Source organism: Homo sapiens, chromosome 12 (genome assembly GCF_000001405.40).
Source record: "Homo sapiens chromosome 12, GRCh38.p14 Primary Assembly".
NCBI classification, from domain to species: Eukaryota; Metazoa; Chordata; class Mammalia; order Primates; family Hominidae; genus Homo; species Homo sapiens.
The window spans coordinates 110,431,011-110,452,485 of record NC_000012.12 but is presented as its reverse complement, the minus strand read 5'-3'; the positions used below and the strand labels follow the sequence as shown (position 1 = coordinate 110,452,485).

The 21,475-nt window shown below is 46.0% G+C and overlaps 1 protein-coding gene across 2 annotated transcripts, besides 3 other annotated features; it reads left to right on the top strand.

Moving 5' to 3' along the window:
• Nucleotides 1,936–2,035: an enhancer, noted in NCBI's record as "active region_7003". NCBI's record gives its function as "activates an Ori minimal core promoter by ATAC-STARR-seq in GM12878 lymphoblastoid cells {active_cell/tissue: GM12878}" and the evidence as "EXISTENCE:reporter gene assay evidence [ECO:0000049][PMID:35858748]".
• On the top strand, nucleotides 2,149–17,663 carry ARPC3 (actin related protein 2/3 complex subunit 3). 2 transcript variants are annotated; one of them, NM_001287222.2, is made up of 7 exons: nucleotides 2,149–2,231; nucleotides 6,935–7,034; nucleotides 12,098–12,174; nucleotides 15,334–15,402; nucleotides 15,803–15,929; nucleotides 16,285–16,376; nucleotides 17,269–17,663. In NM_001287222.2, the coding sequence occupies exons 1-7, from the start codon at nucleotides 2,226–2,228 to the stop codon at nucleotides 17,329–17,331; spliced, it is 534 nt and encodes a 177-aa protein (NP_001274151.1). In that variant the 5' UTR covers nucleotides 2,149–2,225; the 3' UTR covers nucleotides 17,332–17,663. The 2 variants fall into 2 exon arrangements, with proteins under 2 accessions (NP_001274151.1, NP_001265485.1); NM_001278556.2 differs by having other exon boundaries at nucleotides 16,282–16,376.
• Nucleotides 2,741–3,593: an enhancer, noted in NCBI's record as "H3K27ac-H3K4me1 hESC enhancer chr12:110886698-110887550 (GRCh37/hg19 assembly coordinates)". NCBI's record gives its function as "activates a minimal SCP1, AML or CMV promoter by ChIP-STARR-seq in primed H9 embryonic stem cells {active_cell/tissue: H9 hESC(primed)}" and the evidence as "EXISTENCE:reporter gene assay evidence [ECO:0000049][PMID:30033119]".
• Nucleotides 20,640–20,749: an enhancer, noted in NCBI's record as "active region_7002". NCBI's record gives its function as "activates an Ori minimal core promoter by ATAC-STARR-seq in GM12878 lymphoblastoid cells {active_cell/tissue: GM12878}" and the evidence as "EXISTENCE:reporter gene assay evidence [ECO:0000049][PMID:35858748]".

The following is a 21,475-nucleotide window of genomic DNA, read 5'->3' as shown; positions in this document are numbered from 1 at the left end:
CACTGCAGTGTCTAATTTGATTCATTTTAATTAAGCAAAATGTGGCCAAGCGTGGTGGCTCACACCTACAATGCCAGCACTTTAGGAGGCCGAGGCAGGTGGATCACCTGAGGTCAGGAGTTCAAGACCAACCTGGCCAACATGGTGAAAGCCTGTCTTTACTAAAAATACAAAAAATTAGCTGGGCGTGGTGGCGCGTGCCTGTAATCGCAGCTACTTGAGAGGCTGAGGTGGGAGAATCCCTTGAATCCAGAAGGTGGAGGTTGCAGTGAGCCAGGATCGCACCATTGCACTCCAGCCTGGGCAACAGAGTGAGACTCCATCTCAAAAAAAAAAAAAATGTGAGGACCTGTAAGTATCGGTGGTAGCTTATGCCTGGGGGCCAGGCTAGAGGGAAGGGTCGGGTGTCTACCCCATGGTCCACTCAGGGAGGAGCATGATGAGTGGGCAACATGGGGATGTGCTGGGCTGCCTGGGGACCTTCCTGTGGCCCTTAGAGGATAGATAGTGTGGAAACAGCCTGATCTCCCAGGGTTGCTAATTCTTAGAAACTTATTGTCACATGGGAGGGGAAGAAAGAAGAGGCAGATTTTCAGTTGCCCTCTTCCTTGGTCCTCCCTGGTTTAGCTTCTAGAGAGTATGGTATGTGCCTGTGGAGAAAAAGTGAAGGACCCGATTCCAGTGCCTTCCCCACTGGACACTGGGGTTTCAAAGATGAATCTGACAATTCCAGTCCTCGAGGATTTCACTGTCTCATAGGCAGGGCTGACAGAAATTCAGTAAATTTACACAAATTTACTGAAGTTCCGTGGATGCCAGACACTGGGGATAGAACAGGGATGCACAGTGCAGGCAGGGCCTTGCTCACGTGGGGCTGCCATGCTGGGCCTGTGAGACTGACCATGAGGAAGGAAACCTCAGAGAGAGGATGGAAAGAAAAGCAGAAAAGAAATGGAGAGTGATTATGGGGCTACTTTGGGCTCTTTGTCAAAAAAGACCTTGCCTAAAAGGTGCTATTTGCCCAGTCAGCTGAATGTGAAATCAGATGTGGGAACATGGGGTCCTATTTCAGGCTGGGAACTGGCAGAAGAAATGGCTCTCAGGCAGCAATGAACTTGACTTTTAACATAAGAAGTTTTCTAGTAATAAATAAGTTAAAACTCTGGGCTTTCAGTATGCTCCAAGCATGTAAGTTCTAAGCATTTTACATGTAATTCATTTCATCCTCACAAAACTATGAGGTAAATACTGTTACTGCCATTTTCAGGTGAGGAACTGAAGCACAGGCCAGTTAACTTGCTCAAAATTACAGAGCTAGTATGTATTGGAGCTGCGATTCAAACCTGGAGTCCAGTGCCCTTCAGTTTCTCCATTTTTAGATGCAGTGCATTGGGTTCATTCATTCACTCAAATATTGATGTTTCCTACATACCGTCACTGTTACGGGCGCAGGTGACAAAACGGACGAAGTGCTGCCTTTTTGGCATTCACAAGCACTAAGAGTAAACTAAATACAAGAATCGTAAGAACTAAGGGAAAAAGCGGGAGAGAAGGATAAGGCATGGGGCTGGAGTTGGGTGAACTGAAAATAGAATGAACGGAGAATGCTTCACAGGAAAGGTGATTTTTTTTTTTTTTTTTTTTTTTTTTTTTTGAGAGAGTCACACTGTCATCCCGGCTGGAGTGCAGCGGCGCGATCTTGGCTCACTGCAACCTCTGCCTCCTGGGTTCAAGCGATTCTCCGGCCTCAGCCTCCCGAGTAGCTGGGATGCTACCACGACCAGCTAATTTTTGTATTTTTAGTAGAGACGGGGTTTCACCATCCAGGCTGGTCTCGAACTCCTGACCTCAGGTGATCCACCCGCCTCGACCTCCCAAAGTGCTGGGATTACAGGCGTGAGCCACTATGCCCGGCCCTGAAAAGGTGACATTTGAAAAAAATACAAAAGAGGTGATTGATCTCAGATTCTGGAACCTCAAGACCCATCTCCATTCTGGGCGCTGCCTCACGCTGCACCACTCAAGGCCCCTGCCTAGTGCTCTGGCGCCTCCTTCAGATCCGCGCGGCCGCTGCAACCAGAAGCGGAACTGCAAGGCCGGAAGCTCCACGTCCGCACCCGCCCCTTCCGTTTCGCTTCCGCCTACCTCGCCCAGGCTGCCAGACCGGAAGCGCTCCGCTGTACCTGGATCCTGCTCCTCTGGGTTGAAACCCGGGCGCCGCCAAGATGCCGGTGAGGGTTCGATCCACGGTGTGGGGAGACAGCGGGGATTGCGAAGAGCAGAGAGAAACCGTGTGTGTGCCGAGAGAAGCGGGCGGCGGAAGGCAGAGAGGAAGCTGGGGCCCGAGAAGGAGGGAGGCGAGGGGAGGGGACCGGTTGCTGAAGGATTGGGGCGGCCCGGGGGTGCCAGTCGTGGGAGGCGGGGGCGCGGCAGGAGTGGGCCAAGGGTCCAGGGTGTGTGAGGAGGCCCTTTTCTCTCTCCGTCTACTCCTTCCGACTCCGGCAGGGTTCCCAAAGCCTCACTAGAGAGCGAAGCCAAGGGCTGCGCTTTTTATTTTTCATATTTCAAGTCCAGGGGTCTAGCTTCTCCTTTTTCTGTCAGGCCCACTTCCTCCTCCGCCCCGGGGTCAGGCTCCCTCTGCTGTTTGTCATTTGTCAGAACCCACTTCCCGGCAGCGGCGGCCATCCCGGAGCCAGCTGGGTTTAGGGCCCTCACAGACTCGTTCGGCGCCTGACTTCCAAAGATTTCCTTTTTCGTGTGCCATCAGAGTGGGAGTAAAAAATTATGACGGCCTGGTTGTACTTAATTTCTGACAGCCAGTTTGTGGGGTAGATTTATCACCGTCATGGTCTCCATTTTGCAGATTCGGGAAAAGGTGGTTCAGTTATTATGTGATTGTTCACACTTTTTTTGTTGTTTGTTTTTTGAGAGAGTCTCGTTCTGTCGCCCAGGCTGGAGTGCAGTGAGGCGATCTCGGCTCACTACAACTTCCACCACCCTGGTTCAAGCAATTCTCGTGCCTCAGCCTCCCGGGTAGCTGAGATTACAGGCGCGCGCCACCACGCCCAGCTAATTTTTTGCATTTTAGTAGAGACGGGGTTTCACCATGTTGGCCAGGCTGGTCTGGAACTCCAGACCTCAGGTGATCCGCCCCCTCGGTCTCCCAAAGTGCTGGGATTATAAGCGTGAGCCATCGCGCCCAGCCTGCTCACACATTATTTTTAACAAACGTTAACGAGCACCTGCTGCCTGCCAGGCTGTATTTACAGCAGCAAATAAGTTCAACAAATCCCTAATCTTAAAGAATGTACATTCAAATCGGGAGTCGAGACAATAAAAGTGTAAACATAATAAAGGAGATACATACGGTAGTGTCAGGTAGTGACAAATGCTATAAAGAAGCTAGATGGGTGGTCAGGCGCAGTGGCTCACGCCTGTAATCCCAGCACTTTGGGAGGCCTAGGTGGGCGGATCACGAGGTCAGGAGTTCAAGACCAGCCTGGCCAACATGGTGAAACCCCATCTCTACTAAAAATACAAAAATTAGCCAGGCGTGGTGGTGCGTGCCTGTAATCCCAGCTACTTGGGAGGCTGAGGCAGGAGAATCGCTTGAACCCAGGAGGCGGAGGTTGCAGTGAGCCGAGACCGTGCCACTGCACTCGTCTAGTGACAGAGTGAGACTCTGTACCACCACCCCCCCCCCCCCCGGAAAAAAAGAAGCTAGATGGGTAACAAGACAGTTGGTGAGAGGGAAGGCGGAGGCTGCTTTAGATAAAGCATACCTGTGATGAAAAGGAGCAAGCCATAGTTGCAAATACATTTTTTTTTTTTTTGAGACAGGGTGTGACCCTGTCTCTCAGGCTGCAGTTCAGTGACACAAACTCGGTTCAGGTGATCCTCCCACCTCAGCCTCCTGAGCAGCTGGGACTACAGGTGTACGCCACCATGCCCAGCTAAGTTTTTGTGTTTTTAGTAGAGACAGAGTCTCACCATGTTGTCCAGGCTGATCTCAAACTTCTGGGCTCAAGCAGTCCTCCTGCCTCACCCTCCCTAAGTGTTGGGATTACAGACATGAGCCACCTCGCTCAGCCTCACAAATGCATATTTTATGAATCCCATAATTACCATTTGACTCCTGAGCTCTGGGGTACACACTTTATAAATTATCCCATCTAATCCTCATAACGACCCTATGAAGTAGGTACCATGATTCCTGTTTTACAGAAGAGGAAACGGAGCCTCAGAGAAGTTAATTTGGACAAGGTTGCCTAGTAATGGTAAAACCAGGTTTTAAGCCAGGACTCTAGGCTGGGTGCAGTGGCTTATGCCTGTAATCCCAACACTTTAGGAGGCCAAGATGGGAGGATCACTTGAGCCCAGGAGTTTGAGACCAACCTGGGCAACATAATGAGACCCTGCCTCTACAAAAATAAAAATAAATTAGCTGGATGTGGTAGTGCATGTCCTCCCAGCCTCTCAAGAGGCTGAGGTGGGAGGATCACCTGGAGCCAGGAGTTTGAGGCTGCAGTGAGCTGTGATCCTGCCACTGTACTCCAGCCTAGGAAACTCTGTCTCCAAAAAAAAAAAAAAAAAAAAAAAGGACTCTAAATCCCTGTACTGGTTCCAATCGCACATAGAGCACCCTGGATTCACTCTGTTGGGTTTTGTTTGTTTGTTTTTTTGGGGGGAGGGGTTTGTTTGTTTGTTTGTTTTTGAGACAGAGTCTTGCTGTGTCGCCAGGCTGGAGTGCAGTGGTGCCATCTCGGCTCACTGCAACCTCTGCCTCCTGGGTTCAAGCGATTCTCATGCCTCAGCCTCCCAAGTAGCTGGGAATACAGGCATGCACTACCACACCCAGCTAATTTTGATATTTTTAGTAGAGATGGGGTTTCACCATGTTGGTCAGGGTGGTCTCGATCTTCTGGCCTTGTGATCTGTCCGCCTCAGCCTCCCAAAGTGTTTGGATTACAGGCGTGAGCCACCCCGCCCATCCCATCCTGTGATTATTTTCTGTCTGTCTTCTCTACTCTTCAAGGACCAGAATCGTACTACTTTGTATATTACTATATCACAGTGTCTTGCACATAGAAGGTGCTTAGCAATCATTTGATGAATGAATGAATATATGAATGGGACCCATGTTGACTTATAAAAAGCCAGACATCTTGTAAAAAGCAGAACTAAGAATCAGCATACAAAATGCTCTCATAAATGTGATTTTTTTTATCCCTTCCTTTAACACACACCTACCCACTGAAGGGAATATATATCTTCTCATTTTACAAATTTGGAAACAAGCTAAGAGAAGAAGAATGATGTCTTGGTCAAAAGCATAACGCCATGAAGTGGCAGAGCTGAAAAGATAGTGCTTGGGTCTTGGTTTAGCTGGGGGCTGGGTACCCTGATTTATATGATGTTTGTCTTTCTGTAGTGGAAATACTTTGGCCAGATACCAATGTGATGTCACCGAACATAGAATTGGAAGAGATGCACAGCAGCACCCCATTATTTAGTATTTCGTAATAATAACCTTAAGAACATAGACAATAGTAAAATGTAATTTTTAAAAATTAGGTTATTGCCGGGTGCAGTGGCTCACGCCTGTAATCCCAGCACTTTGGGAGGCCGGGGCGGGTGGATCATGGGGTCAGGAGTTCGAGACCAGCCTGACCAACATGGTGAAACCCTGTCTCTACTAAAAATACAAAAATTAGCTGGGCGTGGTGGCACGCACCTGTAATCCCAGCTACTTGGGAGGCTGGGGCAGGAGAATCGCTTGAACCCAGGAGGCGGAGGTTGCAGTGAGCAGAGATCGCGCCACCGCACTCCATCCTGGGCGACAGGGCAAGACTCCGTCTCAAAAAAAAAAAAAAATTAGGAAGTAGGCCAAGTGCAGTGCAGTGGCTCACATCTGTAATCCCAGCACTTTGGGAGGGCAAGGCGGGCAGATCACCTGAGGTCGGGAGTTCGAGACCAGCCTGGCGAAAATGGAGAAACATCGTCTCTACCAAAAATACAAAATTAGCTGGGCGTGGTGGCTTATCCCTATAATCCCAGCTACTCAGGAGGCTGAGGCAGGAGAATCACTTGAACCCGGGAGGCGGAGGTTGCAGTGGGCCAAGGTCATGTCATTGCACTCCAGCCTGGGCAACAAGAGCCAAACTCTGTCTCAAAAAAAAAAAAAAAAATTAGGAAGTAGCCAGGTGTGGTGGCTCACACCTGTAGTCCCAGCCCTTTGGGAGGCTGAGGCAGGAGGAACACTTGAGCTTAGGAGTTTGAGATCATCTTAGGCAACATGGTGAGACTCCTTCTCAAAAAAAAAAAAAGAAGTGATGAATACTTAAGCATCATTGTTTTTAACATTATTTACTTTTTTTTTTTTTTTGAGACAGTCTTGCTCTGTTGCCCAGGCTGGAGTGCAGTGGCACGATCTCGGCTCACTGCAGCCTTCGCCTCCTGGGTTCAAGTGATTCTCCAGCTTAGCCTCCCACATGGCTGGGACTACAGGCGCACGCCGCCACGCCTGGCTAATTTTTTATATTTTAGTAGAGATGGGGTTTCACTGTGTTGCCCAGGCTGGTTGCAAACTCCTGAGCTCAGGCAATCTGCCTGCCTCAGCCTCCCAAAGTGCTGGGATTACAGGCATGAGCCACCACGTCCAGCCAACATCATTTACTTAATTGTAAGTTTATATAATTTGATTTTTGAGAAGAGCTGTGTTTAACAACCAGCTTGAAAAATGCCTCAAAATTTAACAATTGGTTTTCTTGAGCCAGAAAGAACCAGCCCTCGCACCTCAATGCTGCTATCCCTTCTCCCTCCCCTAATTAATCTTGGGTGGTTTACTCTTTTTTTCCTTTAAGGGAAGGTTGTTTGCCACAGTGACATTTGCTCTTTTTCTGCTTCTGTGTTCTTCCTGGGCTTGCCATTACAGGCTTACCACTCTTCTCTCATGGATCCTGATACCAAACTCATCGGAAACATGGCACTGTTGCCTATCAGAAGTCAATTCAAAGGACCTGCCCCCAGAGAGAGTAAGTCTAAACCCATTATTTTCAAATTTTGGTACGAAATGCCTAACAATCTTCTGAAATGATCAAATCAGAAAAATTCTTAGCTCAGTCTTCTCTCTCAAATTGCCCTTGTACTTTGCTTGGTAGATACTGTGGTCTAGACCTTTCAAGATAGTGGTTATATGTTGCATTTAATAGGAAATTGTATTATTTCTTCTGACTTCTCCAGGAAACTCTTTTGAGAAAATGGAGGAAATGTGCTTAATTCTGGACACTGTTTATCAGTTCTTTCAAACAAATCTAATGCTGTTACGTCTAGAATGCCACATGCCCATCCTTTCTGTCATCAACCTGGAAAAGAACAACAACAAATATTTTAACCTCTTCCTCGTCTAAATCTACTTCCTTTATTCATTCTTCAAGATCTTCATTTTTAGCAATACCTCAATCTTAAATCTGAAGTGTACTATGTAACATTACTTACGTCTATTCCCGCTTTTCTGAATTTTATTTCAGAAAGCCGCAATATTTTTCAGACACTGTCTGAGACTCTTCTGATGCTTTCTGAGATGTTCTCCCAACAGTATAATTTGTATTATGTTAGACATGGTTTCCCTGTACCCTGCAAGGGTCTGAACTGAATTCCATTCATGGTTTCCAAGACCATTATTATAATTACCAATTTGGTACTTATCCAGTCCCCATTTCTCTGCCAGACTGTTTGACTTGACCTTTTTTAAACTTAATTTTGTTTTCAACACCATTTGAAAGCTCAGTAAACTTAATGCATATGGTGAGTCACCACAGTCTCTACTTGATTCTGAGGAAAAGGAACAAGGAAGAAGACAGCCTGGGAAAGAAGAAAAATAACATAAAAGAAAATCACAAGGCTGGGTGCGGTGGCTCACACTTGTAATCCCAGCACTTTGGAAGGCCAAGGCAAGTGGATCACTTAAGGTCAGGAGTTCGAGACCAGCCTGGCAAACATGGCGAAACCCCAACTCTACTAAAAATACAAAAATTAGCTAGGCATGGTGGTGGGCACCTGTGATCCCAGCTACTCAGGAGGCTGAGACAGGAGAATCGCTTGAACACAGAGGGTGGAGGTTGCAGTGAGCCAAGATTGCACCACTGCACTCCAGCCTGGGTGACAGAGTGAGACTTCATCTCAAAAAAAAAAAAAAATTTTTTTTCACTGCAAAGGCCAGGCGTGATGGCTCACACCTATAATCCCAGCACTTTGAGAGGTCGAGGTGGGTGGATCACCTGAGTTCAGGAGTTCAAGACCAGCGTAACCAACATGGAGAAACCCCATCTCAACTAAAAATACAAACAATCAGCCGGGCATGGTGGCGCATGCCTGTAATCCCAACTACTTGGGAGACTGAGGCAGGAGAATTGCTTGAACCTGGGAGGTGGAGGTTGCAGTGTGCCGAGATCATGTCATTGCACTCCAGCCTAGGCAACGAGCAAAACTCTGTTTCAAAAGAAAAAAAAAAAAAACCTGAATTGGAATGGAGGCCTGTGCTGTGAGCTAAATAACAGCATTAATCACACTAATTCATTTATATTCAACAAATATCTGTAGAATGCCTTTTATGTGCCAAGTATTCTTCTAATTTCAGAATCCTTTGGCCTTTGCCCCCTCCTGTCATTGCATTTAGAAGAACTAGCTGGTTTTTGGAAACAATATTGAGTCCTCCAAGACAGTTTTCTTTCACAGATAAGAAAACAGATTGCAGCCAGGCATAGTGGCTCACGCCTGTAATCCCAGCACTTTGGGAGGCTGAGGCGGGCAGATTGCCTCAGGTCAGGAGTTTGAGACCAGCCTGGCCAACATGGTGAAACTCTGTCTCTACCAAAAATACCAAAATTAGCTAGCTGTGGTGGCAGGCACCTGTAGTCCCAGCTACATGGGAGGCTGAGACAGGAGAATCACTTGAACTCAGGAGGCGGAGGTTGCACTGGGCCTAGATTGTGCCATGGCACTCCAGCCTGGGCGACAAAGTGAGACTTGATCTCGAAAAAATAAATAAATAAAAAATAGGGCGTGGCGCGGTGGCTCACGCCTGTAATCCCAGTACTTTAGCACTTTGGGAGGCCAAGACGGGTGGATCACGAGGTCAGGAGATCGAGACCATCCTGGCTAACACGGTGAAACCCCATCTCTACTAAAAATACAAAAAATTAGCCAAGCGTGGTGGCGGGCTCCTGTAGTCCCAGGTACTCGGGAGGCTGAGGCAGGAGAATGGCGTGAACCCAGGAGGCAGAGCTTGCAGTGAGCCAAGATTGCACCACTGCACTCCAGCCTGGGCAACAGAGCGAGACTCCATCTCAAAAAAAAAAAAAGTAAATTGCAAGGAACACAAGTCTAGAGTTAGAGTTCTGTTGAAATTCTTCCACAGGGCAATGAGCTGGGATGAAGACAACTGAATTGCAGAGTATGAAAGCTTCAAGATTACTTTGCATTTCTGCTGTGCGAGAACGTTAACAGTCATAGACAAGAAGTATAAGTAACTGTCTCAGCACTGCTGAAACCAACTGCCAGATATCAAGACCCTGGGATTTTGACCTTTTTAAAATAAGAAGAAGAAAAACAAAAAATTGCCAAACAAATTGTGTCATGAGATCTGTCTTTGTCAAGACAGTATTTCTGGCTTTTGTCCGTCTAGAGCTACCTACAACAGCTTGTACAAGTATATTTTAAGTCATAGTTTTCATAAAAAGAAAGATGTGTATCTGAACCTCAACATGTTCTAAATAATTGAGTTTTTTTCTGAAACTATAATATGTAAATTCAAATAAAATTATATTGAATACTTTTTATTTTATTTAATTATATATATTTTTTATTATTACTTTTTTGAGATGGAGTCTCGCTCTGTCACCCAGGCTTGAGTTTGGTGGAATGATCTCAGCTCACTGCAACCTCTGCCTCCTGGGTTCAAGCAATTCTCCTGCCTCAGCCCCCTGAGTAGCTGGGATTACAGGCACGTACCACCATGCCCGGCTAGTTTTTGTATTTTTAGTAGAGACAGGGTTTCTCCATGTTGGCCAGGCTGGTCTCGAACTCCTGACCTCAGGCAATCCATCCGCCTCAGCCTCCCAAAGTGCTGGGACTACAGGCGTGAGCCACTGCGCCCGACTGAATACTTTTTATTTTTAGGAAGCAGTTAAAGTTAGTCTATGTCTCAGTGTTTTTTTATAAATGCATTGAGAGACGTCTTGAATAATGTTCACCAAATGCTAATGGTAGTTATTTTTGGGGAAATGGGAATTAAGGTGACAATTAAAAATTTTTTTTTTGCCTGGTGCTGTGGCTTATGCCTGTAATCCTAGCTACTCAGGAGGCAGGAGGATCACTTGAGGCCAGGAGTTTGAGACCAGCCTAGGCAACATAGTGAGACTGCATCTCTAAAAAAAACTTTTTTTTTTTTTTTGGAGACAGAGTTTTGATCTCGTTGCCCAGGCTGGAGTGCAATGGTGCAATCTTGGCTCACTGCATCCTCCACCCGCGAGTTCAAGCGATTCTCCTGCCTTAGCCTCCCGAATAGCTGGGATTACAGGTGCCTGCCACCATGCTTGGCTAATTTTTTGTATTTTTAGTAGAGGCGCAGTTTCACCATGTTGGCCAGGCTGCTCTCAAACTCCTGACCTCAGGTGATCCACCCGTCTCGGCCTCCCAAAGTGTTGGGATTACAGGCGTGAGTCACTGTGCCCAGCCATCTTTAAAAACTTTTCTTTAAAAATTTTATTTAATTTTTAAAGAAAAAAATTAGCCAGGCCTCATGGTGCATGCCTGTAGTCCCGGCTACCTGGGAAGCTGAAGCAGGAGGATCACTTGCGCTCAGGAATTCAAGTCTGTGGTGAGTTATAATTGTACCACTGCACTCCAGCCCGGGTAACAGAGCAAGACCTCTCTCTAAAAAATAAAACTGTTTTGATTGAATTTCATTTTCTAATGAGCATGTATAAGTTTTACGAAAACAATAAAGCTGTAAAAATAAACCATGTACTACTTTTCTATAAATATTTTCTGAAAATCCGGGGGTGGTGGCTCACTCCTGTAATCCCAGCACTTTGGGAGGCTGAGGCAGGCAGATCACGAGGTCAGGAGTTCGAGACCAGCCTGACCAACAAGGTGAAACCCCATTTCTACTAAAAATACAAAAATTAGCCAGGCCTGGTGGTACATGCGTATAATCCCAGCTACTTGGGAGGCTGAGGCAGGAGAATCGCTTGAACCCGGGAGGCAGAGTGAGCCGAGATCATGCCATTTCACTCCAGTCTGGGCGACGGAGCAAGACTCCGTCTCAAAAAAAAAAAATTTGGCCGGGCACGGTGGCTTATGCCTGTGATCCCAGCACGTTGGGAGGCCGAGATGGGCGGATCACGAGGTCAGGAGATCAAGACCATCCTGGCTAACACGGTGAAACCCCGTCTTTACTAAAAATACAAAAAATATAGCTGAGCATGGTGGCAGGTGCCTATAGCCCCAGCTACTTGGGAGGCTGAGGCAGGAGAATGCCGTGAACCCGGGAGGCGGAGCTTGCAGTGAGCCAAGATCGCGCCACTGCACTCCAGCCTGGGCGACAGAGTGAAACTCTGTCTCAAAAAAAAAAACAAAGGCTGGGCACGGTGGCTCATGCCTGTAATCCCAGCACTTTGGGAGGCCGAGATGGGCGGATCACGCGGTCAGGAGATCAAGACCATCCTGGCTAACATGGTGAAACCCCATCTCTACTAAAAATACAAAAAATTAGCGGGGTGTGGTGGCAGGTGCCTGTAGCCCCAGCTACTCAGGAGGCTGAGGCAGGAGAATGGCGTGAACCCGGGAGGCAGAGCTTGCAGTGAGCCAAGATCACGCCACTGCACTCCAGCCTGGGTGACAGAGCGAGACTCTGTCTCAAAAAAAAAACAAATAAATATTTTCTAAAAACTTTGTATTTCAATAGGATCATTTTATTTTATTCAACTCCACAACTGTTGACAGTTGTATGTGTTTTCCCTTTATGGCTTTGATAGTTGTTATGTTTTGTATTTGGCTAATGTTCTCTGTGCTCCTTCCCTTGTGTCCTGCTTAGCAAAAGATACAGATATTGTGGATGAAGCCATCTATTACTTCAAGGCCAATGTCTTCTTCAAAAACTATGAAATTAAGGTAAATTACGGAGCTTTTAATATTTAACTTAGTTTTCTCATAGGGATAATACCAACCTTGCTATCCAGATTGCTGTGAGGAGAAAATAAAATGAAATCAGCATGTAATTTTTAAATTCGAGAGCAGTGCTTAATGTTAGCTTTTGTATAAATATTAGTTTCTTTTTTTTTCCTCCAAATTCTATACCAGGGGTTGGCAAACTCTAACCTGAGGGCCACATTTGGCCCACTGCCCCTTTTTATGAATAAACCTTTATTGGAACACAGCCACAACCATTTGTTTCTATATTATCTATAGTTACTTTCACACCAAAACAGCAGAATTGAGTAGTTGTGACAAAGACTGTATGGCCCACAAAACCTAAAAATACTGCCTGCCTTTTACAGAGAAAGTTTGCCAACCCCTTGCTAGAAGTATCTTTATTTATTCAACATTAGTTAAGCAGCACCTACTATGTGCCAGCCTTTTGTTTTGTTTTGAGACAGGGTCTTGCTCCGTCGCCCAGGCTAGAGTGCAGTGGCACAATCACAGCTCACTATACCGTCAACCTCCTGGGCTCAGACAGTCCTCCTGCCTCAGCCTCCCAGGTAGCTGGAACTACAGGCATGCACCACCACACCTGGCTAATTTTTTGTATTTTTAGTAGAGACGGGGTTTCACAATGTTAGGCAGGATGGTGTCTCGATCTCCTGACCTCATGATCCGCTCACCTCAGCCTCTCAGTGTGCTGGGATTACAGGCGTGAGCCACCGCTCCCGGCCCTAAAATGGAATTTCAGCCCCTCCTTGCCAAACTCTGAACTTCTGGAATCAAACAGGTTGTGAATTATTTATTTGTAGACTCTTGGTGTACAAATTGTAGTCTAAACATTCTGTGATGGTAATAGAATGTTTTCTATATCTCATGTGTGGGTTAAGTTTGTAACAGTTATAAATGTTACAATTCTCTGGGCACATTGCTTGAGTTCAGGAGTTCGAGACCAGCCTGGGCAACATGGCGAACCCCCGTCTCTACAAAAAATAGAAAAATTAGTGCATGGTGGCTCACGCCTGTAATCCCAACACTTGGGAGGCTGAGGCGGGTGGATCACATGATGCCAGGAGTTTGAGACCAGCCTGGCCAACAAAGCGAAACCCCATCTCTACCAAAAATACAAAAATTAGCCAGGTGTAGTAGTGCATGCCTGTAATCCCAGCTACTCGGGAGGCTGAAGCACAAGAATTGCTTGAACCCAGGAGGTGATGGTTGCAGTGAGCCGAGATCACACCACTGCACCCAGCCTGGGCGACAGAGCAAGACTGTCTCAAAAAAAAAACAAAAAACTCTGCCACATTTCATTTGTTCCCAGATACTATATTGTCTTAAAAATAGGGAAATGTGGCTGGGCGCAGTGCCTCTGCCCGTAATTTGGGAGGCCAAGGCGGGCGGATCACCTGAGGTCGGGAGCTTGAGACCAGCCTGACCAACATGGGGAAACCCCGTCTCTACTAAAAATACAAAATTAACTGGGCGTGGTGGTGCGTGCCTGTAATCCCAGCTACTTGGGAGGCTGAGGCAGGAGAATCACTTGAACCCAGGAGGCAGAGGTTGCGGTGAGCCAATATCACGCCATTGCACTCCAGCCTGGGCAGCAAAAGTGAAACACTCAAAAAAAAAAAAATATATAGGAAAATGGTGTGGTTTGGGGGTAATTTTTTTGTTGTTTTTTTGTTTTGAGACAGAGTCCCGCTCTGTCACCAGGCTGGAGTGCAATGGCGTGATCTCGGCTCAGTGCAACCCTCGACTCCCGGGTTCAAGTGGTTCTCCTGCCTCAGCCTCCCAAGTAGCTGGGATTACAGGCACGCGCCACCACGCCAAGCTAATTTTTGTATTTTTTGGTAGGGACAGGGTTTCACCACGTTGGCCAGGATGGTCTCGATCTCCTGAGCTCGTGATACACCCACCTTGGACTTCCAAAGTGTTGGGATTACAGGTGTGGGCCACCGCACCCGGCCTTTTTTTTTTTTTTTTTAATTCGAGACAGAGTCTTGCTCTGTTGCCCAGGCTGCAGTGCAGTGGTACAGTCTTGACTCATTACAACCTCTGCCTCCTGGCTTCAAGCGATTCTGTGGCCTTAGCCTCCCTAGCAGCTGGGATTACAGGCGCACGCCACCATGACTGGCTAATTTTTGTATTTTTAGTAGAGACGGTGTTTCGCCATGTTGCCCAGGCTGGTCTCAAACTCCTGGGCTCAAGCAATCCACCCACCTCAACCTCCCAAAGTGCTGGGATTACAGGCATAAGCCACTGCACCTGGCCTAAATTTGTGTAAAATTTGACCCAAAGTCCATACCACATTTGATCAACATTCATTTGTCTTCTCCACATTTTCTTTTTGGTTAGGTCAAGACATTGAGATTATGGAGTTCTTTGGGAGCAAGTCAAATGTGAAATAGTTGCTTCCTCCTTTAGAGTAATGACTATTTCTGTTCTCGGCAGAGACCCTGAAGGGAAGGGTTTTTAAAAATTAGCCAACCATATGGAGCAGTTCAGGCTTTCCAGGCAGCTTTGTTACTTCTTCCTATACAGTGAGGGGCTGTTGACACAGATCCTTGGGAACCCTGGGGCAAGGGGAGCCGAGAAAAACAAGAGAGAGCAGCCACTCAGCCGAGCGTGGTGGCTCATGCCTGTAATCCCAGCACTTTGGGAGGCTGAGGTGGACAGATCACTTGAGGTCAGGAGTTCGAGACCAACCTGGCCAACATGGTGAAACCCCGTCTCTACTAAAAATAGAAAAATTAGCCAGGCGTGGTGGCGGGCACCTGTAATCCCAGCTACTCGGGAGGCTGAGGCAGGAGAATTGCTTGAACCTGGGAGGTGGAGGTTGCAGTGAGCTGAGATTGTGCCACTGCACTCCAGCCTGGGCAACAGAGCAAGACTCCGTCTCAAAAAAAAAAAGCAGCTGCACATCTCAGAGTGGGGCTTGTGCCTTCCTCCCAGGGGCAGACGGAAAAGGAGACTGAGGAGACTGTGCATTTGGAGAATGGGAGTTTTGATGTGATAGTGGCTGTCCTACCACTGCATTCAGCAGATAATCAGAAGACAAAGATGGAATGCATACATTGCACATCATTGTTATGTTTTGATAACTGTTTTTAAGTCTTCTTTTTCTCCCTGTAGAATGAAGCTGATAGGACCTTGATATATATAACTCTCTACATTTCTGAATGTCTGAAGAAACTGCAAAAGGTAATTAAACTTGGATGATTGTATATCAGGAAAACAAATTGCTGAGAGGCATTTACCCTCCCAGTCATCTGGGATTTGTTGAGACTTTAAAGACAAGTAGAAAATATTTCCTCTGACTTACAGCATGGACTTAAGAGAAAAATTTGAATTTAGTTACCTGAACTTGTAGTATAATTGACTGACACAAAGATAAAAGTAGTGGTGTTTTAAGGCTTTGAATATATTTTCTCAAGACAGAAATCTTGACAGAGGAATTCCTTTTAAGCCCTTGACTCAAGGGTTCTTAACCTGGGGTCCAAGGATAGAATTCTTCTTTTCCCTGTAAAATATGTGTGTGTGTGTGTGTGTGTGTGTGTGTGTGTGTGTGTGTGTATATATATATATATATTTTTTTTTCCAGTGCAATTCCAAAAGCCAAGGTGAGAAAGAAATGTATACGCTGGGAATCACTAATTTTCCCATTCCTGGAGAGCCTGGTTTTCCACTTAACGCAATTTATGCCAAACCTGCAAACAAACAGGAAGATGGTAAGAACAGGTCTCTATCCTCACTCTGTGACACAAGAAGATTTTCTCCATTTGACTTCCTACCACCCCTCTTTTTCTTGCCTTGATTCATGTACAGATTGAGAGTGAAATCATAGGAAGTACATTATCTTATTAGTCACTCTCACAAACGATTCTTGGCAACAAGGATGACATGCAGAAAATCTTTTGAACAAAAACAAATATAGTTATAAAACTATCTGGACTGTCATTTCTATTTTGTATCCTGTTCAAATGTATAAAAATGTATTACCACAGTGAGCATCCAGAGCTGCAACCAGTACATTTGGGATGTATTTGCAAATACAGTTTTTTTTAAATTGTTCTGTTTTAGAAGTGATGAGAGCCTATTTACAACAGCTAAGGCAAGAGACTGGACTGAGACTTTGTGAGAAAGTTTTCGACCCTCAGAATGATAAACCCAGCAAGGTAAGACCCTCTTCTTGCCTGCTTAATTGGTAAATCACCTTTTATCCCATAGCCACCATTGAACACACTAAGGTCTTCCATTGCAAGAATATTTTTAATTTCTGCATTGCAATGTTGCTTAACTTCCAGTATATGTCTAGTATGTAATATGAGTTCACTGAATCACACTAAATAATGAATTGCAGGCCGGGCGCAGTGGCTCACGCCTGTAATCCCACCACTTTGGGAGGCCGAGGCGAGTGGATCACTTGCGGTCAGGAGTTCGAGACCAGCCTGGCCAACATGGTGAAACCCCCATCTCTACTGAAAATACAAAAAATTAGCCAGGCATGATGGTGTGCACCTGTCATCTCAGCTACTCAGGAGGCTGAGACAAGAGAGTCGCTTGAACCCAGGAAGTGGAGGTTGCAGTGAGCCAAGATCATGCCATTACACTCCAGCCTGAATGACAGAGTGAGACTTTGTCTAAAAAGGGTTTATGGCCAGGCGCGGTGGCTCACGCCTCTAATCCCAGCACTTTGGGAGGCCAAAGCAGGCGGATCATGAGGTCAGGAGATTGAGACCATCCTGGCTAACATGGTGAAACCCCGTCTCTACTAAAAAATACAAAAAATTAGCCAGGCGTGGTGGCAGGCGCCTGTAGTCCCAGCTACTGGGGAGGCTAAGGCAGGAGAATGGCATGAACCCAGGAGGCGGAGCTTGCAGTGAGCCAAGATCACACCACTGCACTCCAGCACTCCAGCCTGGGCGACAGAGCGAGACTCCGTCTCAAAAAAAAAAAAAAAAAGTTTATAAGAGATTCCAGACTAATGTGAAATTTTATTATTAAATAAATGCAAATTCTATTGTAATTTGACCCCGCTGTTCATTCTGTGTTGTTCTCTCTTGTTAGTGGTGGACTTGCTTTGTGAAGAGACAGTTCATGAACAAGAGTCTTTCAGGACCTGGACAGTGAAGGGAGCCCGGGCAGCCACCGTCTCCAGAGCCCTGGGCAGCATTTTCCAGCAAGATGTACACAATCTTTTGCCTTTATTTCGTAAAGTTTTATACAGAAGAGAGAAGAGCATGTCTTTACTTGAAAAACTCTTGATCAAGAATTTGGGTGGGAGAAAAGAAAGTGGGTTATCAAGGGTGATTTGAAATTTTCTGCAGCATTAAAGCTGGCGCTTAATAAGAATAAGTAATAATAAAGAAATTTCTAACATTCCATGTCAGAAAAACTTTATTGCCAGTCTTTGACATTCACTTACAATTTGTTTTGAGATAAAATTCACATTCCATAATGCCCTTTTAAAGTGTACAATTCACTTTTTTTAGTATATACATGAAGTTTTACAACCATCCCCAGTAAATCCAGAGCATTTTCATCACCCCGGTGTAGTGAACCTGCACTCTTTAGCAGCCACCCCACCCCACATTCCTCCCCAAGCCCCCTGTCCCTCCCACCCCTCCTCCCAGTATTAATCTACTTTCTGTCTCTATGGATTTGCTTATTCTGGATAATTCATGTAAATTGAATTTTTTATACAACATGTGGCCTTTTATGTCTAGCTTCTTTGACTTAATGTTTTCTAATTCATCCATGTTAGAGCATATATCAGTGCTTTCTTTTCTCTTTTTCTTTTTTTTCTCTCTGTGTATATGTATGAAATAAAATATACTAATATGGCCAGGCGCAGTGGATCACGCCTGTAATCCCAGCACTTTGGGAGGCCCAGGCGGGCAGATCACCTGAGGTCGGGAGTTTGAGACTAGCCTGACTAACACGGAGAAACCTGGTCTCTACTAAAAATACAAAAACCAGCCGGGCCGGGTGCGATGGCTCACGCCTGTAATCCCAGCAATTTGGGAGGCCCAGGCAGGCGGCTCACCTGAGGTCAGGAGTTTGAGACCAGCCTGACCAATATGATGAAACAATGTCTCTACTAAAAATACAAAAATTAGCCGGGCATGGTGGCACGCGCCCGTAATCCCAGCTATTCGGGAGGCTGACACAGAAGAATCGCTTGAACCTGAGAGGCAGAGGTTGCAGTGAGCCGAGATCGCACCATTGCACTCCAGCTTGGGCAACAAGAGCGAAACTCCATCTCAAAAAAAAAAAAAAAAAAAAAAAAAACTCAGCTGGGCGTGGTGGCGCATGCCTGTAATCCCAGCTACTCGGGAGGCTGAGGCAGGAGAATCGCTTAAACCTGGGAGGCAGAGGTTACGGTGAGCCGAAGGTTGCGGTAGGCTGAGATCGCGCCATTACACTCCAGCCTGGGCAACGAGTGAAACTTCGTCTCAAAAAAAAAAAACGGCCAGACGCGGTAGCTCACGCCTGTAATCCCAACACTTTGGGAGGCCAAGGCGGGCGGATCATAAGGTCAGGAGAATCGAGACCATCCTGGCTAACACAGTGAAACCTCCGTCTCTACTAAAAAAATACAAAAAATTAGCCAGGCGTGGTGGCGAGCGCCTGTAGTGCCAGCTACTCAGGAGGCTGTGGAAGGGGAATGGCGTGAACCTGGGAGGCGGAGCTTGCAGTGAGTGGAGATTGCACCACTGCACTCCAGCCTGGGCAAGAGAGTGAGACTCCATCTCCAAAAAAAAAAAAAAAAACCTAGAGTTTATGGTAGTACTTGAATGATTAGAGTATTTGCATTTTGTTTTTACGGGTGAATATATGATTTTAATATGTGGGTTAAATGCTCTTGAGCATCTGTTTAAAGACTTGAATTACAAGCTAGCTAAATACCACAGTTCACACAGCAAAAGGAATGGATATGTGAAAACCTACTCCATAGATAAACAGAAGGACAGTCCTGAAGCCAAAAGAGTGGTGGTGGTGTGTCGTGGGGGGTTTTGTTTGTTTAATTAAAATTTGTTTGTTTGTTTGTTTTTGAAACAGGGTATCACTGTTGCCCAGGCTGGAGTGCAGTGGCATGAACACGGCCCACTGCAGCCTCGACCTCTTGGGCTCAAACAATCTTCTCGCCTTAGCCTCCCCAGTAGCTGGGACTACAGGCACACATCTCCAGGCCCAGCTAATTTTGTATTTTTGGTAGAGATGGGGTATCATGTTTTTTTGTGTTTTTTGTTTTGGTTTGGTTTGTTTTTTGCTTTTTTTTTTTTTTTTTGAGACTGAGTCTCTCTCTGTCTCCCAGGCTGGAGTGCAGTGGTGCAATCTTGGCTCACTGGAACCTCTGCCTTCCAGGTTCAAGCTATTCTCCTGCCTCAGCCTCCTGAGTAACTGGGATTACAGGCTTGTGCCACCACGCCTGGCTAATTTTGTATTTTTAGTAGAGACGGGGCTTCACCATATTGGCCAGGCTGGTCTCAAACTCCTGACCTCAAGTGATCCATCCACCTCGGCCTCTTAAAGTCCTGGGATTACAGGTGTGAGTCACAGCGCCCAGCAAGACAAGGTTTTGCTGTGTTGTCCAGGCTGGTCTCAAACTCCTGGACTCAAGTGATCCACCCACCTCAGCCTCCCAAACACTGGGATTACAGGCATGAGCCACTGCACCTGTCCTAAATTAAAATTCTTAACCCAGAATCAGAGTTTTGGTGTTTGGGTTGGAACTTCTGCCACAGGGGTTACAGACATGTCAGAAAGGAGAGAAAGCCACCCTGATTCATTTCAAGATTACAGGTTTGGGGCCAGGCCTGGTGGCTAGAGGTCGAGGCTGCTATGAGCCATGATCGCACCACTGCACTCCAGCCTGGGCGACAGAGTTGAGACCCTGTCTCAAAAAAGAAAAAAAAATTTTATTTTAAACATATCACCACGTTGGCCAGGCTGGTCTTAAACTTCTGACCTTAAGTGATCCGCCTGCCTTGGCCTCCCAAAGTGCTGGCATAAGCGTGAGCCGCCGCGCCCAGCCAAATATATGTATGTATGTATATATATCTATAGACATATCTAGATATCTAGAGATATCTATAGATATCTAGAGATAGATCTATCGATCTATATATCTAGATATGTATCTAGATATAGATCTATCGATCTATATATCTAGATATATAGATCGATAGATATAGATCTATATATAGATATGTAGATATATAGAGCTATATAGATATATCTATATATAGATATGTAGATATATAGATCTATATATAGATATGTAGATATATCTATAGATAAATATCTATATATATAGATAGATATCTAGATATCTGTAGAGATCTATATAGATATATATATATTTTTGAGACGTAGTCTCGCTCTGTCTCCCAGGCTGGAGAGCAGTGGCGCGATCTCGGCTCACTGCAAGCTCCGCCTCGCTCCGCCTTCCGGGTTCACGCCATTCTCCTGCCTCAGCCTGCCGAGTAGCTGGGACTACAGGCGCCCGCCACCACGCCCCCCTAACTTTTTTGTATTTTTAGTAGAGACCACCGTGTTAGCCAGGATGGTCTCGATCTCCTGACCTCGTGATCCGCCCGCCTTGGCCCTCCAAAGTGCTGGGATTACAGGCGTGAGCCACCGTGCCCGGCCCCTTTTTTTTTTTTTTTTTTAATTGTGGAACCATCATGATAGAAAACCAGCTTACTCTGGGTCCTGTTCCCAGTTCCGTTACTGCCAGCAGGGGGCGCACGGGCCACAGGCGCTGGAACTAGCTTCTGGACCATTTCCCCTTGGGACTTTATCGTGGTAGGTGTTTTGTTTTGTTATATTTTGTTTTTTAATATATGCAAGAGGACAATTTCCAAATGATTTATTATAAATTATACATGAATATAGTCTGATTTTTTTTTTTTGATAGAGCCTTGCTCTGTCACCCAGGCTGGATTGCAGTGGCGCAATCTCAGCTCATTGCAACCTGCACCTCCTAGGTTCAAGCGATTCTCCTGCCTCGGCCTCCCAAATAGCTGGGATTACAGGCGTGCGCCACGATGCCCAGCTAATTTGTGGATTTTTAGTGGAGACAAGGTTACACCATGTTGGCCAGGCTGGTCTGAAACTCCTGACCTCAGGTGATCCACCCGCTTCAGCCTCCCAAAGTGCTAGGATTACAGGCGTGAGCCACCACGCCCGGTCCAATAGTATGAACTTTAAAATACAGCTTTAATTGAAATGTAATGCTGACATTAAAAACAATTATAATGTTGACTTT

Excerpts from the sequence above, each read along its gene's own strand:
- ARPC3 (NM_001278556.2), top strand. Across the intron at positions 7,035-12,097 it reads AGGACCTGCCCCCAGAGAGA|CAAAAGATACAGATATTGTG; the intron begins GTAAGTCTAAAC and ends TGTCCTGCTTAG. Across the intron at positions 15,930-16,281 it reads TGCAAACAAACAGGAAGATG|AAGTGATGAGAGCCTATTTA; the intron begins GTAAGAACAGGT and ends GTTCTGTTTTAG.